Source organism: Homo sapiens, chromosome 1, assembly GCF_000001405.40.
Source record: "Homo sapiens chromosome 1, GRCh38.p14 Primary Assembly".
NCBI classification, from domain to species: domain Eukaryota; kingdom Metazoa; phylum Chordata; class Mammalia; order Primates; family Hominidae; genus Homo; species Homo sapiens.
In genome coordinates this window covers 97,512,200-97,536,109 of record NC_000001.11, presented here as the reverse complement: position 1 = coordinate 97,536,109, position 23,910 = coordinate 97,512,200, and the positions used below count along the sequence as shown (strand labels likewise).

The 23,910-nt window shown below is 34.3% G+C and overlaps 1 protein-coding gene across 6 annotated transcripts in view; it reads left to right on the top strand.

Annotated features, from left to right (window-relative positions):
• Positions 1-23,910, top strand: part of DPYD (dihydropyrimidine dehydrogenase) — an 843,317-nt gene that overhangs the window by 384,950 nt on the left and 434,457 nt on the right. For 4 of the 6 annotated variants that reach the window (XM_017000507.2, NM_000110.4, XM_047448076.1 and 1 more), the window contains one exon: positions 20,169-20,384. The exons of the other annotated variants lie outside the window; for them this stretch is intronic. In XM_017000507.2, coding sequence (XP_016855996.1) covers positions 20,169-20,384 — 216 coding nt within the window. The remainder of the gene's footprint in view (positions 1-20,168; positions 20,385-23,910) is intronic. 6 annotated transcript variants of the gene reach the window in all.

Sequence of the window (23,910 nt, the reverse complement as noted above, 5' to 3'; positions counted from 1 at the left end):
TATGTGATCTCACCTTTATCTCTCGCAATGGCAAGTAGTAAAGTCAAATTTGCTTACAGTCATAGAAAAATGAAGTCTTCTTCAGTTGCTTATAAATAAACATACATTAAACCCTATAGTACTCTCCACATAATTTTCCTCTTTGATAGTACATTCAGGTTAAATTGTGATGTGTTCTTCAGCTAATATTTTTAAATAATTATTATGCATCAGATACTTGACACTTTTTCTATTAACAATTATATTCCTAATAATGTGAAGGTTTTTGTTTGTAAAGGAGAATTTATTTTTTGTAACATCCATATGTTCTAAAAGGAAGTCAAGGAAAAAATGAGCAATGAGGCTGTACCTAATGGAGCTATCAAAACAAAACTGTCTAGTTGGTGATAGAGAAAGAAAATACCATGACTAATAAGTAATTTTAATGCCTTTTATTGACTTTGTATAGGTTCCAAACTTTTATTAAATGGCAGTGTTTGACCTGAAAAGTAATTTAAAATGAAATTGTCTCCATAAAGACAGAATATTTCCTTACCCATATAGCAATAGATTGCTACTTCAGGCAGAGATAATTGAAGATTAGAATGGCAGAAATAAAAACTAACTGAAAAATCTGATCCAATACGTAGGGAATCTAACCTTAGTTCATGTTGATGGAGTATTAAGGAAATTAACCACTGCAGTATCAATTGGTCCAAATAGAGTAGAAGTGTTATGCATCCCATGCCAAATTTTCAGCGCTCTAATGCATGGGGTCTGCTGGGTCTAATGGCAATGTAGCACAATAAAACAAAACACCCAAAATCTTTAGTTTGCTGTGGAGAATTTAAATACAAAATAACCTAGTTAGAAATTTTGACCAGAATTGTGTTCTTCTGAATTCAGTGATTTAGTAAAGTTGAATCTCAAACAAGCTGTAAAGGATCAGATCAAAAAATATCCAGGATGGTATAATGGCATCCTGAAAGTCAAGCAGTCTGGGTTCAAGTTGTGAACTAATTGCTCAGTAATTCTGCCTTCAGACTTTTGGGAATATCATGTTGCCTTTTTGGTTTTCTCACTTATGTCTCTGAGACAGAACTTTGTCATCATAGAGGTAGAATTCCCAGCTCAAGGACTTAACAACTTTTAAAATCTCCAATACGTTATCTTGAACCTCATCATTTTCATTCATGGAAGGGGCAGAATTATAATTTTATATGGTTCTAAAACTCAAATAATATATATAAAAAATTAAAAATCTAATTTATTGAATACCCATTATGGTTGATTGTTTTTAGAGGCTTAGCATTCACATTGTGTGCAAAATTACCTATGGATTAACCATTTTCCCATTTAAAAAAATGGAGAACTATACTGGATTTGGTTAAGATGTAGTTGGCCATGAGTTAGGAAGCTGAGGAACTGGATTTAAAAGAGTAAATTCACATAGTAAGATAATTTACTCAGAAGAATACAACAATAATAGAATTATCTGAAAATGTTGTAAAAATTGTTAAATATCCTCAAAGAGATAAAGAAAAGAATAACATCCATAAAAAATAAAAGAAAAAAATGTAATGCCTTTCTTAAGGTGTTAAAACTAGTTAATGGCAATGCTGGGGGTAGAACCCAAGTTTTTCTGTTCTCGGTTCTACTGTTCTTTTCAATAACCAGCTTACTTTTTCCTCATGATGTTCTTTTCTCTTTTTTTGAGTTCCAGCTGAGCATGTGGAAGTCAGAACACATAAGTAAGTTCCTACCAGTTATCAGAGAACTCTGCTCCAGGGTGGGGACAAGTATTGGACTTTTTGTGATTCTTATAACCAATACTCAAAATTTTACCTTATTTCATTTTAGATCACTTCCCATATATTGAACAGTCACTGTATACCAGACAACATCCTGTGAGAATGTAGCCTTCAAATACATTTTTAATCAGTTTTGTTCTCTGTTGTATCCCTAGAACAGTGGTTACCTTATTGTTGGTGGTTGGCCAATGAAATGCCTGCCATATGTAGGCACTTAATAAATACAATTGAAACAATGGGTAGGTTTTGGAAATGTTTTAGATTATGAGGACACCGAGTTTAGGAAATGGATTTTATAAGTTCACATGGCTCAGTGGTGATAGATACTACCTTAGACTACTAAAAGATCTGGTGTTTGATGGTGGGGTAGAGTTACCATGGGAACAGAAGGATACAAATGAGCATGCTTGGGGTTTGTAGTTTTTCTCATTTGATCTTCACAACCATCCTTCCCTATAGATATTGTTATTTCTATTTTGAAGTGACCTCTGGGCAACTACGCTGGTTTTCTCTTCACACTCTATCCTCACCTTAGTCTATTTCAGAGAATTCTCCTTCTAGAAATATAAGGGTTAATAGGTTAACACAAGAGCAAGTATTGGCTGATATGTTGTTGACTTACAATTTTGAACTTCTTATTCCAAGGCTTAATATTTAACATCACTGCTGTCACCTGTCTTAAATGTCAGCTTATTTGATTTACCTTCGTCACTCTCACCTTGATCATACTGACTCCTTTATGTTACATGGATTTGCTGTCAGGCACCACCCTGAGCTGGTCACCATGTTTTTATTACTTTAGTCATTGACATCTTGTCAGCAGTATCACCACCTTTGCCCCGGGGCCTGTCAGTATGGCAATTGTTACCTTTTTGATTGACACTTTTGAAAATTTGTCAACATGTTATTTATTATTTTAGGGGGATCTCTGTCTAACTTAAAGTCATTTCTTGAAGTTAATTTACTGTTTTATTCTTTGAACAGACTCTTTGGTTTGTATGCAGTAGAGGCTATAATAGTCTACATGCTATTATATTAACAGATAATATTATAACTAGTAGAATGTGAAAGAAACCAACATATTACTGTAGTTCAGTGATATGGTTTAGATCTGTGTCTCCACCAAATCTCATGTTGAATTGTAATCCCCAGTGCTGGAGGTGCGGCATGGTGGGGGGTGATTGAATCATGGGGGCAGGATTAGAGTATCTCTCAGGACAAACTAAAACAAAAACACAAAATACCAAAAGACTAATAAAAAAAAACTTAATGCAAGAACAGTACTAAGAGATGTTTTATAGCAGTAAATGTCTGCATTACAAAAGAAAGAAGATCTGAAATAAATAACCTAACTTTAAACATCGATGAACAATAACAACAAAACAACAACAACAACAAAAAAAAAAAACAACTAAGCCCAAAGTTAGCAGAAGGATGGAAATAATAAAGATTAGAGCAGGAATAAATGATAAAATGAATAAAAATACAATAGAACAAAATCAACAAAATTAAGAATTGTTTTTCAAAAGATAAAATTGACAATTTGTTATCTGAACCAAGAAAAAAAAAGAGTATTCAAAAATAAAATCGGAAATGAAACAGGAGACATTACAACTAATGCCAGAGAAATAAAAAGCAAGACCATAAGGGACTATTATGAACAAATTTGACAACCTAGAAGAAGTGGATAAATTCCTAAAAACATACAACCTATAAAGACAGAATTAAGAAGAAATAGAAAACCTGAAAAGACCAATAACAAATAAGGAGATTGAGTCAGTAATAAAAAACCAACCCAAACAGGAAAGCCTACGACCAGGTGGCTTCACAGGTTAATTTTACTGTACATTTAAAGAAGAATTAATATCCTTTCTTCCTAAAGGCTTGTAAAAAGTAGAAGAGTAAATACTTCCATACTCATTTTATGAGGCCAGCATCACACTGTTACCAAATCCAGACAAAGACACCACAAACAAAGAAAATGACAGGCCAATATCCCTGATGAATATGGATGCAAAAACTTTCAATGAAATATTAGCAAACCAAATTCAACAGTACATTAAAAAGATCATATTCTATGACCTATAAATCTCTATAAAGCAAGACTTATTCCTAGGATGCAAAGATGGTTCAACATACACAAATCAATAAATGTGATAACACCGCATTAACAGAATGATGGGCAAAAACCATATGCCAAACCAAAGAAATAAAAGGCATCCATATCAGATAACAAGAAGAAAAATTAACTATTTGCAGAGGACATGATCTTATACATACAAAACCCTGAAAACTGCACACACACACACAAAAACTGGAGATCTAATAAACAAATTCAGTAAAGTTGCAGGATTCAAATCAACATACAAAAAGCAGTTGTGTTTCTGTATGCCAACAATAAACTATCCAAAAAATTAAGAAAAAAATCCATTTACAATAAGACCAGAAAGAATAAAGTACTTAGGAATACACTGAATCAAGGACATGAAATACTTTTAAAATAAAAACTCTAAAATACTGCCAGAAAGTAAAGCAGACAAAACTAAATGGAAAGACATCTTATATTCTTGGATTGGAAAAACTAATGTTAAAATATCCATTTCACCTAAAGCAATGTACAGATTCAATGAAATCCTTATCAAAATTCCAAATACATTTTTACAGAAATAGAAAATGTAATCCTAAAATATGTATGAATCCACAAAATACCCAAATAACAAAAACAATTTTAAATAAGAATAAAGCTAGAAACATTATACTTCCTGATTTCAAAATAATTACAAAGCAATAATCAGAGTAGTATGCTACTGGCATAAAAACAAACATGTAGAGCATTGGAACAATAGAGAGCTTATATCCTACAGCCATGTCATGTACAGTCAACTATACAACATATACAATGACTTTCAATACGAAAGTCAAGAATGCATAGCGGGGAAAGGATTGTCTCTTCAATAAATGTTACATTGGGAAAAGTGGCTATGTACATGCAAAATAATTAAATTGGAATGTTTTCTTTCACCACAGACAAAAATTAACTCACAATTAATTAAAGACTAAAATGTAAGACCTGCAACTCTAAAACTCCTTAGAAGGAAGCATATGGGAAAAGCTTCATGACATTGGTTTTGGCAATAATTTCATGGATATGACACCAAAAGTGCAGTCAACAAAAGCAAAAGGAGATTAAGTGAGATTACAACAAACTAAAAGAACTTCTGCATAGCTAAGGAAACAATCAACAGAGTAATAAAGCAGCCTTTAGAATGGGAAGAAATATTTACCATTAATTAACCAGCAGTTAATTTCCAAAAAATATAAGAAACTTTTAAAATTCAATAGCAAAATATTTAAATAGTCCAATTTTAAAAATTAGCAAGGGACTTGAATAGATATTTTTTCAAACAAGCCATACAAATGGCCAACAGGTACATGAAAAAATGCTTATCACTGATCATCAGGAAAATGAAAATCAAAACCACATTGAGATATTACCTCACACTTGATACAATGACTATTATCAGAAAAACAAAAGTTTGACAAGTTTGTGGAGAAATTGAAACCCTTATACAACTGTTGGTGCAATGTAAAATGGTGAAACTGCTATAGAAAACAGTATAGATGTTTCTCAAAAAATTTAAAATAGAACTATCATATGATCCAACAGTCCCACTTCTGGGTATATATCTAAAATAACTGAAATCATTATCTCAAAGAGATATCTGCACCCACATGTTCACTGCAACATTATTCACAATAGCCAAGATATAACCTAAATGTCTACTGATAGATAAATGGATAATGGCCAGGCGCGGTGGCTCACGCCTGTAATCCCAGCCCTTTGGGAGGCCGAGGCGGGCGGATCACGAGGTCAGGAGATCGAGACCATCCTGGCTAACATGGTGAAAACCCGTCTCTACTAAAAATACAAAAAATTAGCCTGGCGTGGTGGTGGGCGCCTGTAGTCCCAGCTGCTCGGGAGGTTGAGGCAGGAGAATGGCGTGAACCTGGGAGGCAGAGTTTGCAGTGAGCTGAGATTGTGCCGCTGCACTCCAGCCTGGGTGACAGAGCGAGACTCCGTCTCAAAAAAAAAAAAAAAAAAAAAGAAAAAAAAAGAAATTCTGATGTATACATCCAAGAGAATATTAGTCAGACTTAAAAAAGAAAGAAATTGTACTGTTTGTGAAAGAATGGATAGACCGGGAAGACATGCCAAATGAAGTGGCCATCACAGAAGGACACATACTGCATGATTCCCTCTATATGAGGCATCTAAGGTAGTCAAATGTATAGAAATAGACAATAGAATGATGGTTTCCAGGAGATGGGTGAGAGGGATGCTGGGTATATTGGAAAGAAAGAAGGAAAGAAAAGAAAAGTAAAGAAGGAAAGAAAGAGAAAGAAAAGAAAAGAAGGAAGGGAGGAAGGAGAAAGAAGGAAAGAGGAAAGAAGGAAAGGGAAGACAGGAGGGAAGGGAGAGAGAAGAGAGAGAAAAAGAAAAGGAAAGGAAAGAAAGAAAAAGGGAAAAAAGAAAAAGAGAAAGAAAGAAGAAAGAGAAAGAAAGAAAGGAAGGGAAAGAAGGAAAGAAAGGAAAGAAAAGAAAGGAAGAAAGAAAAAAGAAAGGAAAGAAAGAAAAGAAAAGAGAAAGAGAAAAGAAAAAAAGGAAGGGATAAAGTAAGCAACAATAAAGGGACACAAGTAAACTTTTGAACGTGATGGATATGTTTGTGACGTGGATTGTAGTGATAGTAACATGAGTGTATGCATATATCCAAAGCACTGACTTTTATACATTAATTATGTTTATTGTAGACTGATTGTACCTCAATAAGGCTGTGGAAAAAAAGGTGTGTAATAATACTGCTCTCAGCATATTAATATTTAAATAACAAAACAATGTTTAGTGAAGCCGTTTTTTAACCATTAATAAATAAAATAGACTACTTTTTTTAAAAAAGAAAGAAAAGATACTCTGTTAACTGTTGTGTTCCTAGCACCTGGACAGAATGCCTGCCGTATAGAATGCACTTGATAGATATAGATAAATTTTATATGCTAAGGAAATATTTTAGATCATGGGACAAATGGGGTTTAGGAAGCATATTTTACAAGTTCACTTGGCTCATTGGTGATACTACCTCAGGTTGCTAAAGAGCTGGTACGTGGCAGTGGGAGAAGAGTTTACAAGGAAATAGAAGTATGGAAAAAGAATACATCAGAAAGAGAAAATAGCAAGTGTAAATGTCCAGTTAAAGGCAGAGTTTGGTAGAAGGCACATGTGACTATGATGTGTATATTTATAGAGATTGGCATAAGGTAAGTTTGGATAGGCAGACAGGACCATATCATGAAAGAGCTTGTAGGCTATCATGAAAAGTTGAATATTAACAAAATCCAATGAAAAACTAATGAAAAGTTTAAGCAGGTGCATAACACAATCAAATTTCTGTTTTAAAAACCCTACTCTGGTACAGAGTAAAGAACAGATTTGAGTAGGAGGCAAGGAGAATGCAGAAGTCAGTAAGAAAAAGTCTCAGTAAGAGATAATAGTGGCAAAGAGAATGGAGTCAAAAATAATTAGATTTGCTGTAGAATAGAAATGGGATTTGAGAGAGAAGAAATATCAAAAATAATACAATTAACAGGTTTTAACAAGCTTGATGGATGGTAGTGTCATAAAGTAAATGGGGGAAAACTGGGGAGGAATAGTTATTTTTTGTTGAAGGAGGAGGAGTTTTTGCATGTTACTACATTAAGTTGCTAAAGAGCTGATAATTGGGGGTAGAGGTAGAGTTTAGATGGAGAAAGATGGGACATGGATTTGAATTAATATCATTTAATTTTCAGAGTCCAGATATGCTGACCATTATGCCATGGAGCCAATTAATATTATTTAATTTTCTAGTCTTATTTTATGCTCAGATTACAAGTATAGAAGAATGTGAACACAGTCTTTTAAAGAAATGCGTAAAATGGAATCATTATTTTGTAGAAACTTCTGAAGCCTCAAATCAGAAAAGATTTTATATCAGAAGGAAATTTTATTATGAATAATAATTTCTCAAAATGGAGAATGAAATCTGTTTTTATATTATAATTGTAATCACTGGAGCTAGGCCTTTCCATCATGGAAACAGCTAATCCAAATTAATTTTTACCCTGTAAGATTTTTCCCTCAATAGATATTTCTTCAAAGAGCGAAGGAACTGATCTTGAGTTAATTATTAATGCATTAATCCAGTCTGTGAATTAATCTAGCCACAAGCAGCTATGCAATGTTATTTATTCTTTTCCTTAAAATAATTTCAGAATGGATGTTTCTATAGCAGCTGTACTCCAAGATAGGGCCCGTTGTAGCATATCACAATGAAATATAAACAAAATGACTAAGTGAAAGCTGTTTGATTATTTTGAATTGCATGGAACATAGTGATGGTGATTTCTTCTTCAATCAAATATAACAAACACTACCACTAGTATTGCTTTTAGTAGTGCTTTTCTCTTCCTTTTTTTTTTTTTTTTTTTCCAAATTTCATTCTAGCAAAGCAAATCAGGAGAAAATGCCACTGGGATGTATACTTACCATGTGAGTTACTTTTTCCCAACAACATAATCATTACACATCCAAATGTCTCTGCTATAATTCCATGACCCCACGAGGTATAACAGAGGAAACCAGTGGTAAAGAGTAATAATTTAATAATAAAATAATGGGTTATTATAGTTTGACTGTATTTTTATTTCTATTCTTTAATGGCATTATGATTGTCTTAATGATATTTGAATAGGGTATGGTTTTTATTTTTGATAAGATTTTTCAATGTGTGTGTATATGTACTCTGTGTGTTCAATCAAACCATCATGAATAACTTTTTAGGTTAGTTTCTTGTTTTGAGGACATTAATAATTTAGAAAATTCATGTTTATGTAAGATGGGGGCAGCAGCTGGGCATGGTGGCTCACGCCTGTAATCCCAGCACTTTGGGAGGCCAAGGCAGGCAGATCACGAGGTCAGGAAATCAAGACCATCCTGGCCAACATGGTGAAACCCTGTCTCTACAAAAAATACAAAAATTAGCTGGGCGTGGTGGCAGGCGCCTGTGGTCCCAGCTACTCGAGAGGCTGAGACAGGAAAATGGCGTGAACCCGGGAGGTAGATCTTGCAGTGAGCCGAGATCACGCCACTGCACTCCAGCCTGGGCGACAGAGCAACACACCGTCTCAAAAAAAAAGAAAAAAAAAAAAGGTTGGGGGCAGTTTGATATAATGTAGTTTGTGTAAACTTTCAATTCAGGTCTTGCTCTACCACTTATTAATCTTTGGACAAGCAGTTTACTTTCTTTGGGCCTCACTTTCCTCATCTTCAATAGGAGAATAATGCATACCTTAAAAATCGTGATTAAAAAATACTTATCACTGGATCTGGTATAAATATTACTTGCAAATGGACAACTGTCTTGTTGATTTTAAGAATAAAATAGAAAAACATTTTAACTGTCCTATTTTTACAGTAGACCTTAACATTTGGACAATGTGTTGATGCTTGTCAGAGCTGACACTTTATTAGCAGATGAGAGGTCCACATGAGCACCTTTTAGACTATCTTCCGAACTTAAACGGTCTGTTCTCTTGAACAGACCCCCAGTAGCCACGTAGTTGAATAAAATAGACACCTAACACAATATTGGCCAAGCCTGAATCTCTTACTTGATAATTAGGAACTAGGAAAAGAACTCATGTTACTGGAGAAGTGACCTCATCCTTGAATGCTCTGTGTAATTTCTTGGAGGGATTTTTAAAATATTTTTAAAAATACTATTATTTGAGTCCCCCTCCAAGGGATTCTGATATAATTAGTAGGAAGGTACCTGGCCTGGACATCATAATTTTTAAAACTCTCTACGTGTTTCTGGTAAGTAGAGTAAAAAATTACTGGTCTAGACCTACACAATATTAATCATTCTGGATAAAGAAGTAGAGAAAGCCAATTGGAAGAGGGAGAAGAATAAAGTAGCTGTACATAGAAAGAAAGAGGACAAAGCACGAAAAATCTTCTTACTTTCCTCGAGAATTCCCAGCTCTTCCTGGAGGCCTGGCTGCATTTCTGCATGAGTTTCATGAGATCTTCCTGTAACTCATGATAAGTATCTGAGGCCAATTCATTACTTCCCACCAAAGGAGTTCATTCTAAATTGGAAGTCAGAATTCCAGTAGGGAGAAAAATGCTCTATTTTAGGCAAGACCTTGGCAAAAGTGTGATGTTGGTGAATCTTTGTGTCATTTAATGTGACTGAATTATAGAAACACACACACACACACACACACACACACACACACACACTCTTAATTACCCAGGGCAATTACTTACTCTTCCCACTAGATAGCTCTTGGAGAGACTGGCCTAAAACACACACACACACACACGCGCGCGCGCACACACACACACACGCACACTCTTAATTACCCAGGGCAATTACTTACTCTTCCCACTAGATGCTCTTGGAGAGACTGGCCTAAAACACACACACACTCTCTCTCTCTCTCTCTCTCTCTCTCTCTCTAATTACCCAGGGCAATTACTTACTCTTCCCACTAGATGGCTCTTGGAGAGACTGGCCTAAAATCAGCAATCTTCCAGAGCTTCAATGCCACTCTATGTTAGAATCATAGAATAATGGGCTTTTATAGATTTGGAATAAAGCTAATGATTATTTCATCTAAACTGATTATCACCTTACTGGAAACTAATTTGAAAAAGACACTAAGTACCCAAGGTCACTAGTCTAATACATTCAGTAAATATGTTGAGTATCTCTCTGCCAAGTCTTATGCTAGGTGCTGAAATTAAATCAAGCGGGAGATAGCATATATGTAAGCAAATAAGTACAGAGTACGATTAGGAAGCAGCTTTGCTTGTGGGAAGCTGAGGAGGTTTTTTTTTCTTTCTTTCTTTTCTGTTTTCATCAGCTATACTGCAATATAATTTGTATATAATAACATTTGCCAATTTCCATTATACCATTTGATGAGTTTTGACTGATGTATGGAGTCATGCAACCATCACCACAATCACTCACCATAAATGTTGAGTAGGAATCATCAGCCTACTGTGATTCCTGTGCTGCGAAAGACTGAGACATGAAGCAAAGGGATGAGTTAAGAGGTTATTGTGGTAAATTCAGTGAGAGATAACCATGCTTAGACCAGGAGGTAGTAGTGGAGATGAGAAACGTAATATATTTGGAAAAAGGGACAATAGATTTTTCTGACAGACTGGCTGTAAGGTGTAAAAGAAAAGGCACAAATGATTGTAAGGTTTTTGGCCAAAGGTATTGGAAGGATACAGTTGCCATTCATTGAAATGGGCAAGGCTGTAGAAGAAGCAGGTTTGATGGCAGAAAATTTGCGTCAGGGGTTTTCAGTTTAAAATGCCTAATAAATATTCAAGTGTAATAAGTTTAAAATACAAATCAGAAATATCCAACTGATTGCAACAATCTAATCAGAGGAGAGGTCTGAGTTAGGGATAGAAATTTGGGGGTGTAAATTATATCCTGAATAAACTGTAATGTGTCCATCAAGAAGGATAACATCCTAGGGGTGTTTGATGATGGATACAGACTGTTTTCAAAAAAAGAAAGAAAGAAGAGATGATTAGCACACAATGTCCAGAGGTGAGGCTTCCTGGATGCTCAGTAACTGAAACATCCAGAAATATTCTTGGGTTATATATCGGTAAGTTATCTTGGCCTCAGAACTTTGTGGGAATATATCTTAGACCATGACTAGTTCTGATTTTTGAATAGGCCTTTTCTGAGTTCGTTGTTCTACACTTTACCACAAGCCCCTTGTGGAAAATGTGCCCAGCCAAGACTTCAGAGTTTATGGCGATAATAATCACAAAGTCATGGAATTAGGGCTTGGAAAATATCCTAAAGTTTATCTAGCTCCAACTTCACACCCATGGCATGACTAATAGATAATCTGAGTCATATCCAATGGAAATGAGCTCACATCTCCCAGGACAGACCCTACCCCTAATGGACAACTCTATTTCAAAATTCTTTCTTATGTGAAATACAAACATAACTCGCTGTAGTTAATTTTCTTTTCTGCATCTAAGGGACCCCAATGACTATATTCCTGCAGTTTGTGAGTTTCAACTTGACCATAAGTTTCTTGGGTTTCTCCCCGTTACAGAGCCTGTTACACAGTTTAGGTTTTAAAACTTCAACCCTTGGCCTTCATGACACCTTTGCGGTATCTTCTGTCAAGAGGCTTACTAGACTTTTTTTTTTTAGTTTAAAATAATTATTCATGGTTAAATTGTGATAAAACATACATAATATAAAATTTACCATCTTAGACATCTTTAAGTGTACAGTTCCAGTGGCATTAAGCACATACATCATGTTTCTCCAGAACTTTTTTACCTTGCAAAACTAAAACACTATACGCATTAAATGATAGTTTATCATTTCCCCCTCTGTCTCCCTTTTTTACACATAAGGAGGATTTTTAGTGGAGAGGACAACAGGACTGACTTTTGAAGGCTTAGTTGGAATTTTCAAAGCATTAACACCGGCAGGAAAGAACATTCTAAGCAAAAACAAAAAACGAAAGGCAAAATGCAAAGATGCATTAATGATATTGTTTTATTTGAGAAATTATAACTAGTTCAATAAGTGGAAGCAAAAAATATTTTGAAGGAGGGATAGGAGATGAGATTAGAAAGGGCGGGGAGGGAGAAGGGCCCAGATCACAATTGGGATTATATAATGCTGAGGTTCTGCTTTATTCTGTATGTAGTAAAGAAGCTTGAAGGAACTTGCAGATGACAATGAAATGAAAAAAATTAAGTGTAATGCATATATATTTGGGGCTCCTGATGGTCTATACTTGTCATGGAGTTAATTTTTAGAAATTTTATTGTAAGTGAATAAAACCTTTACTCAGTCTCCCCCCAAAAATTCTAAGGGTGAAGAAAGCAAACTTTAAAAAAATAGTCTTTAAACATCCTTGTTATTTTCAATTTTTCTTATGTCTAGGAAGGACTTCTAAAAAGGAAAGGTTGCTCTTTATCTTTACACTCTAAAACTTGGACATTTAGCTTTTCCTTAATCTCCATTTTTACCATTCTCATCTCAGTTCTTTAGGACTTCAGCTTCTTTTCCTTTTGTAGTTTTCTTTAGTTTTCATTGAGTGTATTTTGAACAATCAAAGAGGTCATGGTGATGTCCAGGTTATAAAATGATTCTTGCTTTACAATGGGAAGGGAGGGAGGGAAATGGCAAAAATTCGAGTTCTCATTTTTAACCTTTTCAACTATGTTAGCGGATTCCTCAATTTCATAGCATATAGGTAAATGAGATATCTGACAAAGGATAACTAGAATACTAAAAGCATTTTGTATTAAAAATAATTATTAAAGATAAAAATGTTTAGCCTAGAGAAAAAAAGGAGATGTAGGAAGTATATGTTAGTTCTGCAAAATATACTTGAGGAATGCCATGTGAAAAGGTGATTTTATTTATATCTCTACAGAGGAAAGAATTGCCTTCAAGAATAAGTATTTTATATAGATGGATTTTTTTTTTTTTTTGAGACAGAGTCTCACTTGTTGCCCAGGCTGGAGAGCAGTGGCGTGATCTTGGCACAATGCAAGATCCACCTTCCGGGTTCACGCCATTCTCCTGCCTCAGCCTCCCAAGTAGCTGGGACTACAGGTGCCCGCCACTATGCCCAGCTAATTTTTTGTATTTTTAGTAGAGACGGGGTTTCACCATAGCCAGGATGGTCTCGATCTACTGACCTCATGATCCACGCACCTCAGCCTCCCAAAGTGCTGGGATTACAGGTGTGAGCCACCACGCCCGACATACATGCATATTTTTAATTGCAATGGAGATAATAATTTGGTTAAGATATGTTTGGTCACTGTCCTCAAGGAGCTTGTTTTTGAAGAGAAAATTAACATGTACAGCCGACTATGATGACAGCTGAGTAGCAGCATATTTTAAACTGTGGAATAGCCACATAAATATCTTCTTTTGAGAAGTGTCTGTTCATACCCTTCATCTACTTTTTGATGGGGTTGTTTGTTTGTTTTCTTGTAAGTTTGTTTAAGTTCTTTGTAGATTCTGGATATTAGCCCTTTGTCAGATGGATAGACTACAGAAATCTTCTCCTGTTCTGTAGGTTGCCTGTTCACTCTGATGATAGTTTCTTTTGATGTGCAGAAGCTCTTTAGTTTAGTTAGATCCCATTTGTCAATTTTGGCTTTTGTTGCCATTGCTCTTGGTGTTTTAGTCATGAAGTCTGCCCATGCCTATGTCCTGAGGTATTTGACTAGGTTTTCTTCTAGGGTTTTTATGGTTTTAGGTCTTACATTTAAGTCTTTAATCCATCTTGAGTTATTTTTTGTATAAGGTGTAAGGAAGGGGTCCAGTTTCAGTTTTCGGCATATGGCTAGCCAGTTTTACCAACACCATTTATTAAATAGGGAATCCTTTCCCCATTTCTTGTTTTTGTCAGGTTTGTCAAAGATCAGATATTTGTAGATGTGTGATATTATTTCTGAGGGTTCTGTTCTGTTCCATTGGTCTATGTCTCTGTTTTGGTACCAGTACCATGCTGTTTTGGTTACTGTAGCCTTGTAGTATAGTTTGAAGTTAGATAGAGTGATGCCTCCAGCTTTGTTCTTTTTGCTTAGGATTGTGTTGGTTATACAGGCTCTTTTTTGGTTCCATATGAAATTTAAAGTACTTTTTTCTAATTCTCTGAAGAAAGTCACTGGTAGCTTGATTGGGATAGCATTGAATCTGTAAATTACTTTAGGCAGTATGGCCATTTTCATGATATTGATTCTTCCTATCCGTGGAAATGTTTTTCCATTTGTTTGTGTCCTCTCTTATTTCCTTGAGCAGTGGTTTGTAGTTCTCCTTGAAGAAGTCCTTCACATTCCTTGTAAGTTGTATTTCTTGGTATTTTATTCTCTTTGTAGCAATTGTGAATAGGAGTTCACTCATGACTTGGCTCTCTGTTTGAAGACATTTGTGCAGCCAACAAACATGTGAAAAAAAGGTCATCATCACTGGTCATTAGAGAAATGCAAATCAAAACCACAATGAGATACCATCTCACGCCAGTTAGCATGGCGATAACTTAAAAGTCAGGAAACAACACATGCTGGAGAGGATATGGAGAAATAAGAACACTTTTACACTGTTGGTGGGAGTGTAAATTAGTTCAACCATTGTGGAAGACAGTGTGGTGATTCCTCAAGGATCTAGAACCAGAAATACCATTTGACCCAGCAATCCCATTACTAAGTATATACCCAAAGGATTATAAATCATTCTACTATAAAGAGATATGCACACACATGTTTATTGAAGCACTATTCACAATTGCAAAGACTTGAAACCAACCCAAATGCCCATCAGAGATAGACTAGATAAAGAAAATGTGGCTCATATATACCATGGAATACTACGCAGCCTCCAAAAGGGATTAGTTCATGTGCTTTGCAGGGACATGGATGAAGCTGGAAACCACCATTCTCAGCAAACTAACACAGGAACAGAGAACCAAACACCACATATTATCACTTATATGTGGTAGTTGAACAATGAGAACACATGGACACAGGGAGGGGAACATCACACATTGGGGCCTGTTGGGGAGTGGGGGGTTAGGGGAGGGATAGCATTAGGAGAAATACCTAATGTAGATGACTGGTTGATAGGTGTAGCAAACCACCATAGCATCCTATGTAACAAACCTGCACATTGTGCACATGTATCCCAGAACTCAAAGAATAATACTAAAGTAAAATTGTGGAATAGTAAATAAAAAAGAGGTAACTACTTCAGAAAAGTGTATAGGTGGTAGTAAGGAAATGTCCCAAGAAGTATATGCTTGAATGAATCAGTTGAGTTTGGAAGGATTATGAAGAGTTTAACGCATGAGTAAAGTCTTAGATTTATTTGTATTTTAGGCAGGTAAAATACATGTAACAGTGTGATGAACTATTGGTAGTTTAAATTTTGTGTTTATTTGGTGGTAGGTGGTAGATTTATTTGTATTTTTTTGCATATAAATGTCAGAGACCTTGTCTGTTTTGTTCATCTTTTTAACCCCAAGTTCTTAACAAATACCTGCTGAATAAGTAAATGAATGAAAATAGTTCTATATGAACATTAATAACTGAGTCTAACAGGTATATTGGCACTATGTTATAAAAAAATCAGACTATGCCATGCAAAGAAATTTTAAGTTGGTTTCCTGAAAAATATGGGGAAGTTAATGCATTTTAATACTTAAACATATAACCAAATATTTTCAATGTAATTAATTAAAATAATTATATTTTTTATGATCTATAAGTGTCTCAGATAAAATAATTTCTCTGTAATGACAAGGGAAGGACTTTAGAATGGGTAATTTTCAGCAGATGGAGAAGAAAGATGGAATGTGAAAAGTGCAGAGGTAGGGAGGCACAAAGTATTTTGGAGAAGCAATGATTGAAACATTTTATTTCTGAGGGGTGGCTTAAGAACATAAGCCAACAAGACAGCAAACTATATATTTTATTGTGGCTTTACCAGTAACTGAGCAACTTACAGATATTCATTTAGCCTCCTTTGGCTTTTGTTTTCTCTTTGTAAAATAAAGCTTTTAAAGTAGATAGTCTCTTTGATTGTTCTAGCTCTACATAATAATACATAGAACTGAAAAAGTTGATTCAGGACACTCTATGGAGGAAACTAAAGGGCAGGCTCTTTACTTTGAGCTTCACTTAATGGGTTTTAGAGTATCAGGATGATATGGTTTGACTGTGTCCCCACTCAAATCTCATCTTGTATTCCCATGTGTTGTGGGAGGGACCCGTTGGGAGGAAATTGAATCATGGGGCCAGGTCTTTCCTGTGCTGTTCTCCTGATAGTGAATAAGTCTCACAAGATCTAATGGTTTTAAAAAGAGGAGTTCCACTGCATAAGCTCTCCCTCTTTGCCTGCTGTCATCCATGTAAGATGTGACTTGCTCCTCCTTGCCTCCCACCATGATTGTGAGGCTTCCCCAGCCAGGTGGAACTGTAAGTCCAGTTAAACCTCTTTCCTTTGTAAATTGCCCAGTTTTGAGCATGTCTTTAACAGCAGTGTAAAAATGAACTAACACACATGGCTTTTAAAAATTGTTTTAGTTTACCTTCAAATCTATCTCAATTAACTTGTATTTATTATTGAAAATATGAAAATTATAATAAGCAAAAATTTAAAAATTAAAGGTCATCTAAAACCCTGATTCTGAGATGTAATTCTCCTAGCATGTTGATGTTTATCTTTTGTGATTGATGGATAAACAGAAACGTACAGCAAAATAGATATATGTGTTTTTCCACCAAAAACTTGGAATTTACATATAATATTATAATATTAACTCACAGTTTTACTTTGTACATAATAAACCCTCTTTCATGTCAATAAATTATTTTCTTCTGTATCATTTCTGATACTAGCATAGCATTCCTTTTTACAATATAGCCATTATGGAACCTATCCCCATTGTTCAACACCTAGGTTGTTTCCTTATATCTGTTATTTACTAACACTACTGGATGAATGGAAAAATAGTATTTTCTGAAATTGAAAATCTAAATAACATATTTGTTAGGAGGGAATATGATGAGATAAAAGAGTTGAGGTTAAAGTGTAAGAGCAAAGCATCTACATCCAAAGGCCTTGATGTCTCTTGGAAATCTGAGTTTGGAGATTGCAATTGAGGTTTGGGAGGAATTAACCTTGTGATGGGAGCTGAAAGTAGATATGCTTGAGTTCTCTGAGCAAGGGTACAGAGGGGGAACAGGCTTTTAAAATTCAGAAAAGGAGGTGTACATTAGGGCTTGGATATATGATGAAGCTGAACAGACTGAGTTGCTATAGCACGACAAAGACAAAGCTAAAAATAGCCCTGTGTTGCACAGTATGAAAAAAGACTGCCTATGACAAGTGAAGATTTTAGATTATATTATAAACACATATACATAGTAGCACTTTTGTGAATAAAAGAAAAAATATATAAGAAGCTGTATTTCTCATTTGAAAGAATTGTGTCTGTGTGTGTGTGTGTGTATTTTATTATTGTTTGCTTTGTTGTGTTTGGTTTTTGTTTTGTTTTGAAGCTTAAGGAAAATCTTGCAAAATGTGTCCAAATCATTTTCTTTCTAAGTATTAAGGCAGCAATGTTCGTAAGAATTTCAAAGCAATTACTTATTTATTTAAAACTACATAAATTAAGCAATGCAAGTTGAACTACACATATATCTGCCTCCTTGGGCTGTTGCCTAATGCCATATATAGCTACAATTATGAACAAACCAAAATTCATCTGTAAGATTGAAAAAAATAGATATTTCAACACACAGCCATAAAAAGAGAAGAATACTTGTAAGTTCACTTATTTCACCTTGTAAAGTACAGACACATGGGACCATATGTAGTTATGCTATTGCCATCAAAGGCAAGTTGGCTCAACATTGTTTCTAAGACAGAGAAGTTGCTTCTATACTTTTACTGATATTAATCAACCTGTAGTGTCAGGAAATTCTTCTTTAGTCTAACCCTAAAACTTGCTTGATTGAATTTACATTATGATTACACAAAGCTAAGAAAATACCATCAAGCAAGGTTTCATAAATTAAGTACAAAGAGGCTGGTTAGTGGGACCAGGAGAAAAATTCTGAAATTATTCCCTTTTGTGTTTGAATTTCAGTATGTTTTAAATAAAGTTGTTTGTTTGTTTATTTAATTGATAATACTTTCCATACTTCCTTTGAAATTTAAAAAGGATGATATCGTATATATTCGGTTTACTGCTAACTGACTTTTTGCCAGTTTTTGTCATTGTTAACATCCATGCGTGGACAGATATACATACACACACCTCAAATTAACCTCCAATTTCCTATATTTTACATTGTAGCTTTTGTATTTGCTAATAATCCTTTTAATAGTATAGCAATCCTGTGTGAGGACAGAAAAATTATGTTCACACCCAGACTAACCAATATTCAGAAATGTGCCTTGAAGCCCAGAACATCCCTGGGAGAAGGTGCCTGCCATAGCTGAAGCCTGGATCCCATCAGGCATCTCTTTGCATGTACCAGAGACACATTAGTGTTTCAATTGACAAGTTTGATGCCTTTTTACATATTAAGTGAACTTTGCTTTGCATTGTAAGTGGTGGAGGGCCAGAAATAATTTCTATGCAAGTCATGGAAATCTTTATCTACACAAGACACACTCCTATAAAATTAAAGTTCTGCTCAAATAACTTTTCTTTTGAGTGATGATTCACAAGAGAATGGATTTCTACTTTTGAATTAACTAGCCCTGTCCATTCAGTAACTGCTTTGGCTGAGAAAATTCATCCTTTTTATATTTTCCAATGTTATTTGTCTTTTGGAGATAGAGAGAGAGAAGGGGAGGGAGGAATGGAGTGAGAGAGACACTTTACAAACAAAAGGCCTGATGCAATCTTTAATAACCTCCCCAGTCAGAAAAAGAGACAACATTTAGCAAGCACCTATGTATGATGTTTCAGTGTGCCATGTGCTAAGAGTAAGTGTTTTTATTAAATCATTCCAATAATCCTGCAAAGAAGCATTATTACCATGATCATTTAACAAAGGTAAATTTACAGTTTTGAGTGCCAGTCGAAGATTTTGACGTAAACTATTTGGGACCTATTTGGTTTCAGAAAAAAGAACAAACCCCCGTAATGCATGAGAACACTACCCACTTTCCAAATTAAATGTCTCCCTGCAGCTTATGATTTCCTGAATTTTCCAGTCTTCCTGTGAGGTAGAAATTAGGCAAGCAGCATTCCTGCTGCTATACTGAAAACTATAGAGAAGAAAAGACAGGGACTTATTAGTTCCCTTTCCTAAAATCGCCTAAACAGTAGTGAAATTACTGGAAATTGAATTTAGGCCTCCTGACTTGCCGTTGCCCATATCTCTGAGCACTAAAGGTATTTTCATAACTTAAGTACAAAGAGACTGGATTGGACCAGGGAGAAAAATTCTAAAATTATTCCCTTTTGTATTTGAATCTCAGTATGTTTTAAATACAGTTGTTTGTTGATTTAATTGATTTTATTTCTGCTAGTACTCTTCATACTGCCTTTGAAATTAAAAGGCCATATTATATGAATTCAGTTCACTGCTCACTGACTTTTTGCCAGTTTTTTTCATTGTAAACAGACTGTTGTAATCTATATTAATTCGGATGCTGTGTTGAAGTGATTTTTTTGGTAAAATATTATATGGACAATTTAGATGTAATATGAAACCAAGTATTGGTTTGTATTTTGCAGTCACAATATGGAGCTTCCGTTTCTGCCAAGCCTGAACTACCCCTCTTTTACACTCCTATTGATCTGGTGGACATTAGTGTAGAAATGGCCGGATTGAAGTTTATAAATCCTTTTGGTCTTGCTAGCGCAACTCCAGCCACCAGCACATCAATGATTCGAAGAGCTTTTGAAGCTGGATGGGGTTTTGCCCTCACCAAAACTTTCTCTCTTGATAAGGTAAGAAAATATTATTGAAGTCATATAGAAATGTCTATCATATATTTTAATTAAGGTATAAACATTATAATGGATTTTTTTTACTAAGAAATACTACTTATTAAACTATTTGACAAGACCTATCATTACACATTAATCTTTAGTTTCTTTCCTTCCTTTCTGTCCCATGGAAGAAGGGGCAGGCATATATTGCTCATTTAGTATTGTCTAGGAAGCAACAAAGATATAAATATTATGAAAGTGACTTTTTCATTTAATAATCTCAAACTCTTATTTTTGTATTATTAATTGTTTCATTATTTTTGGATGCCTCAGCTCAAAGATAGGGACACAATTGATTTGGTTTGCACAAAATTCTGGAATTCAATTTATGTTGAAAAGAATCTCAGTGTAACTTATTGGTATTGGTGATAAGATAGATTCTTTATAAATTTGGAATACAGAAACCTTTCTCAAAAACAAATACCCTGAGTTTCATTTAACATTATGACTTTGTACTTAACCAGAAGTGGACATCTTATACTTAGTAGGAAATAAACTACGTATTAAAGTTGAGATTGAGTCTTTAAAGTACACAAAGCATATAAATGCATGTTTTCAAAGTAAGATGCTTTATACAAGAGGATTGCATCCTTATATGGTTTTGAATTAGAAAAGAACAACAGACTTTAACATTTTTAGACCATTTATTGATAAATTACAAATGCTAAACCTCTCAATGTATTTAATACTAACTGGTAGTTAGTAATAATTAATGTATATGAATGTGTGAATTTAGTGACTAAGAAAAGAGTATCATTATTTGAATCAGCTTTATCCTTAGGCAAAGAAAATAATAGAGAACAAACATGCCCCATTAAGCACATTCTCTCTTTTTCCTCTTACTAGGATCAATAGCTGGCATTATTATGGCTAAAACATTAAGGCTGTCTTACTCTGACAGCTTTACAAGATGCAATGTGTAAGTGTGGTCAGGAAAATCTAGAGAATTCTCAAAAGTCAGAAAAAAAAACAGTGCAGGAAAAAAATCCTTCGTAAAGATTTTTTATATTTAAAGAGAAGTTATTTTTTCAAATAGATCAACTGAATATTTTATTAAACAAAGTGTGAAGCGTAACAGAATATACTAGATTCAGCTTTAGAATACCATGAATCAATTGTTTATAACCTTGTAGAATATTGATAGTATATTTGTCTTTGTTTCAATTGATTCGTTAAGAATTACTGAGAAGCTGTAATCAAATGTTTAATCTATTGGAGAAAACTGAGTCTCAGATAGCATATACTGACTATATTAGTTATGCTATTAAAAAACATATATGTAAACCGAAATAGGTGGCTAATTGGGCACAGGTGAAGAATTATAGCTGAAAAAAAGAGGTGTTTGCTGCTTTGAATTTGATGTTTTCTTCGCTTGCAATAATTGAATTCTGATTAATCAGAGACATCAGTCTTTACACTGTTGGTGACATGCATTGATTTGTGATGCTGTGTCTTTCAGTAACCTAGGAGCACTTGCCTTTATTAGGATCACCAGCAGAAATAAATGTGGAAGCTAACTTCCTTCTAAACCTCCAATTTGAATTTAATCTATCAATTTAGAAGTGTGTGATGCTGGTTCAAAAGGGGAGTTATGAACAAATGGAAATTAAATTTGGCACATGAAATGTAACCATGCGGGGTTTTTTGGAAACCCTATTTTACTTACTTTGATGGTGGGTACAACAAAATATTGTGCAGACTATTTTAAACATATTTCTGCAAATTGCAATGACAAAAATAATGAAGCCACCTTGGGCTTATGTAATGCCATTTTCAAAAAAGATTATTTTCCATACGTGATTTTGCAGAGTAGTCCGTTTGCCTCATAGAGGTCTACTTTTTTTGTTTCCTTATCTGGTTCCTAATTAGTGATTAAATTTGTGAATATATAATTACATCGTATGTGCTTATTTCTTATTTCTATGCTTTCCTATTGATGAAATGTTGGTAGTATACAACTCAGTAGTATGAACATACTTATTTCCCCACAGCCTTTTACTAAAGACGTCTATTAAAATATTACATGTACTATACATTTCGGTGACATTATAGTATACCAATTTAGATTAGCCTTATTATAATTTATTATGGCAATTGAAGAATCTATTTAAAATGAATTAAAATTCAGAATCTTGACATTTGAAATTTGGATGCTCTTAATATGACAAAGGTTATTCTATGGGGTTTTGTTATCATATGAAATATTAATATTTCACAATACAATTTTGATGAAGTACAATTTGCCAAGCTTGCATATGATAAAGAAATTAAATGCTTACCAAGGGAGTTCGGTGAAAATTAGAGCCCTGACTGAACATCTGCTAGAAATTTTATTATCCTGTCCTACTGACAGTGTGGCTCCCTCGTTGTTTTTCTGGATTGACAGCTGAATATTGCACTGATTTCTGCAGCAAATATGTTTGCGTGAACTTTGTTTCCCTTTTTTTATTTTTTTGGGAGTTTGGAACATGCTTTTGATTTTCATCCTGTATATATATATATATTTTATACTCTTGACATTTGTAGATGCCAGATTGAGGTCTAATATGCTGTAGCACCGATAGACCATTGACTTACAGTGAAATGCCAGTTGATATCTCAGTAAACAGAAATATTATTATTCTTTACTGTGCAGTCTATATAAAAGCTGTATGTGCTTTCTTTAGAAAGGCAAATGATCATATTTTTAATGTCAAATATGAAAAGATCTGTTTGCTTTTGTGTTAAATAACATCAAAAATGGCTTTTATTAACTATATTCTTCCTCTTCAAATCTGTCTTTCCAAGAATGTTTCAAAATAACAAGGTTGCTTTTCTTGAGATTCTATTTATGTTTTATAAAGATAGTAAAGTCATATTTAAAATATAGTTATGAAATCATTTTTCTATACAAATGTATATCGGCTCCAAGTTTAAATTTTGAAAGGTGGGAGAGAAATCGATCTGTCAAGCTTGATTAAAGCTAAATTATCATGACAAAACAGAGAAGTGATCTGTTTAAGAGGGAATATTAGAAATGGTTTGGACTTCACATAAAATAACCCCTTGACCTGTGTTCACATTATATTGATAGGAAGTAGATAAAAACATTTTGTTTTCATTAATTTTGTCCATAAATTTTGTTCTCTTGGAGAGCTACATATTATATACTGCAAATCTGTAACATGAAACTGCAAGTTGCATAGCTTTATTACTGCACAGATAAATAAACTAAGAAGTATTTATTTCTATCCTAAATCAAATCTAAACCCAAGCAACAGTTCACTTCACTTGTAAGCCCTTTCTATACATAGATTAACTTGTGATTAACTTTAATTATGAAAATATCTCAAATGAATAGATTTTGTTTTAATAAGTATCAAATTAGGTAAATAAGTATCCATGTAATAGGTCTCTCTTATAAAATGCTAAGAAGTAAAGACTGAAAATATTTAAGCCTCTTTTTTTGGCATCAAAGTATTTATGTAGCTGTTTCTGTAAAACA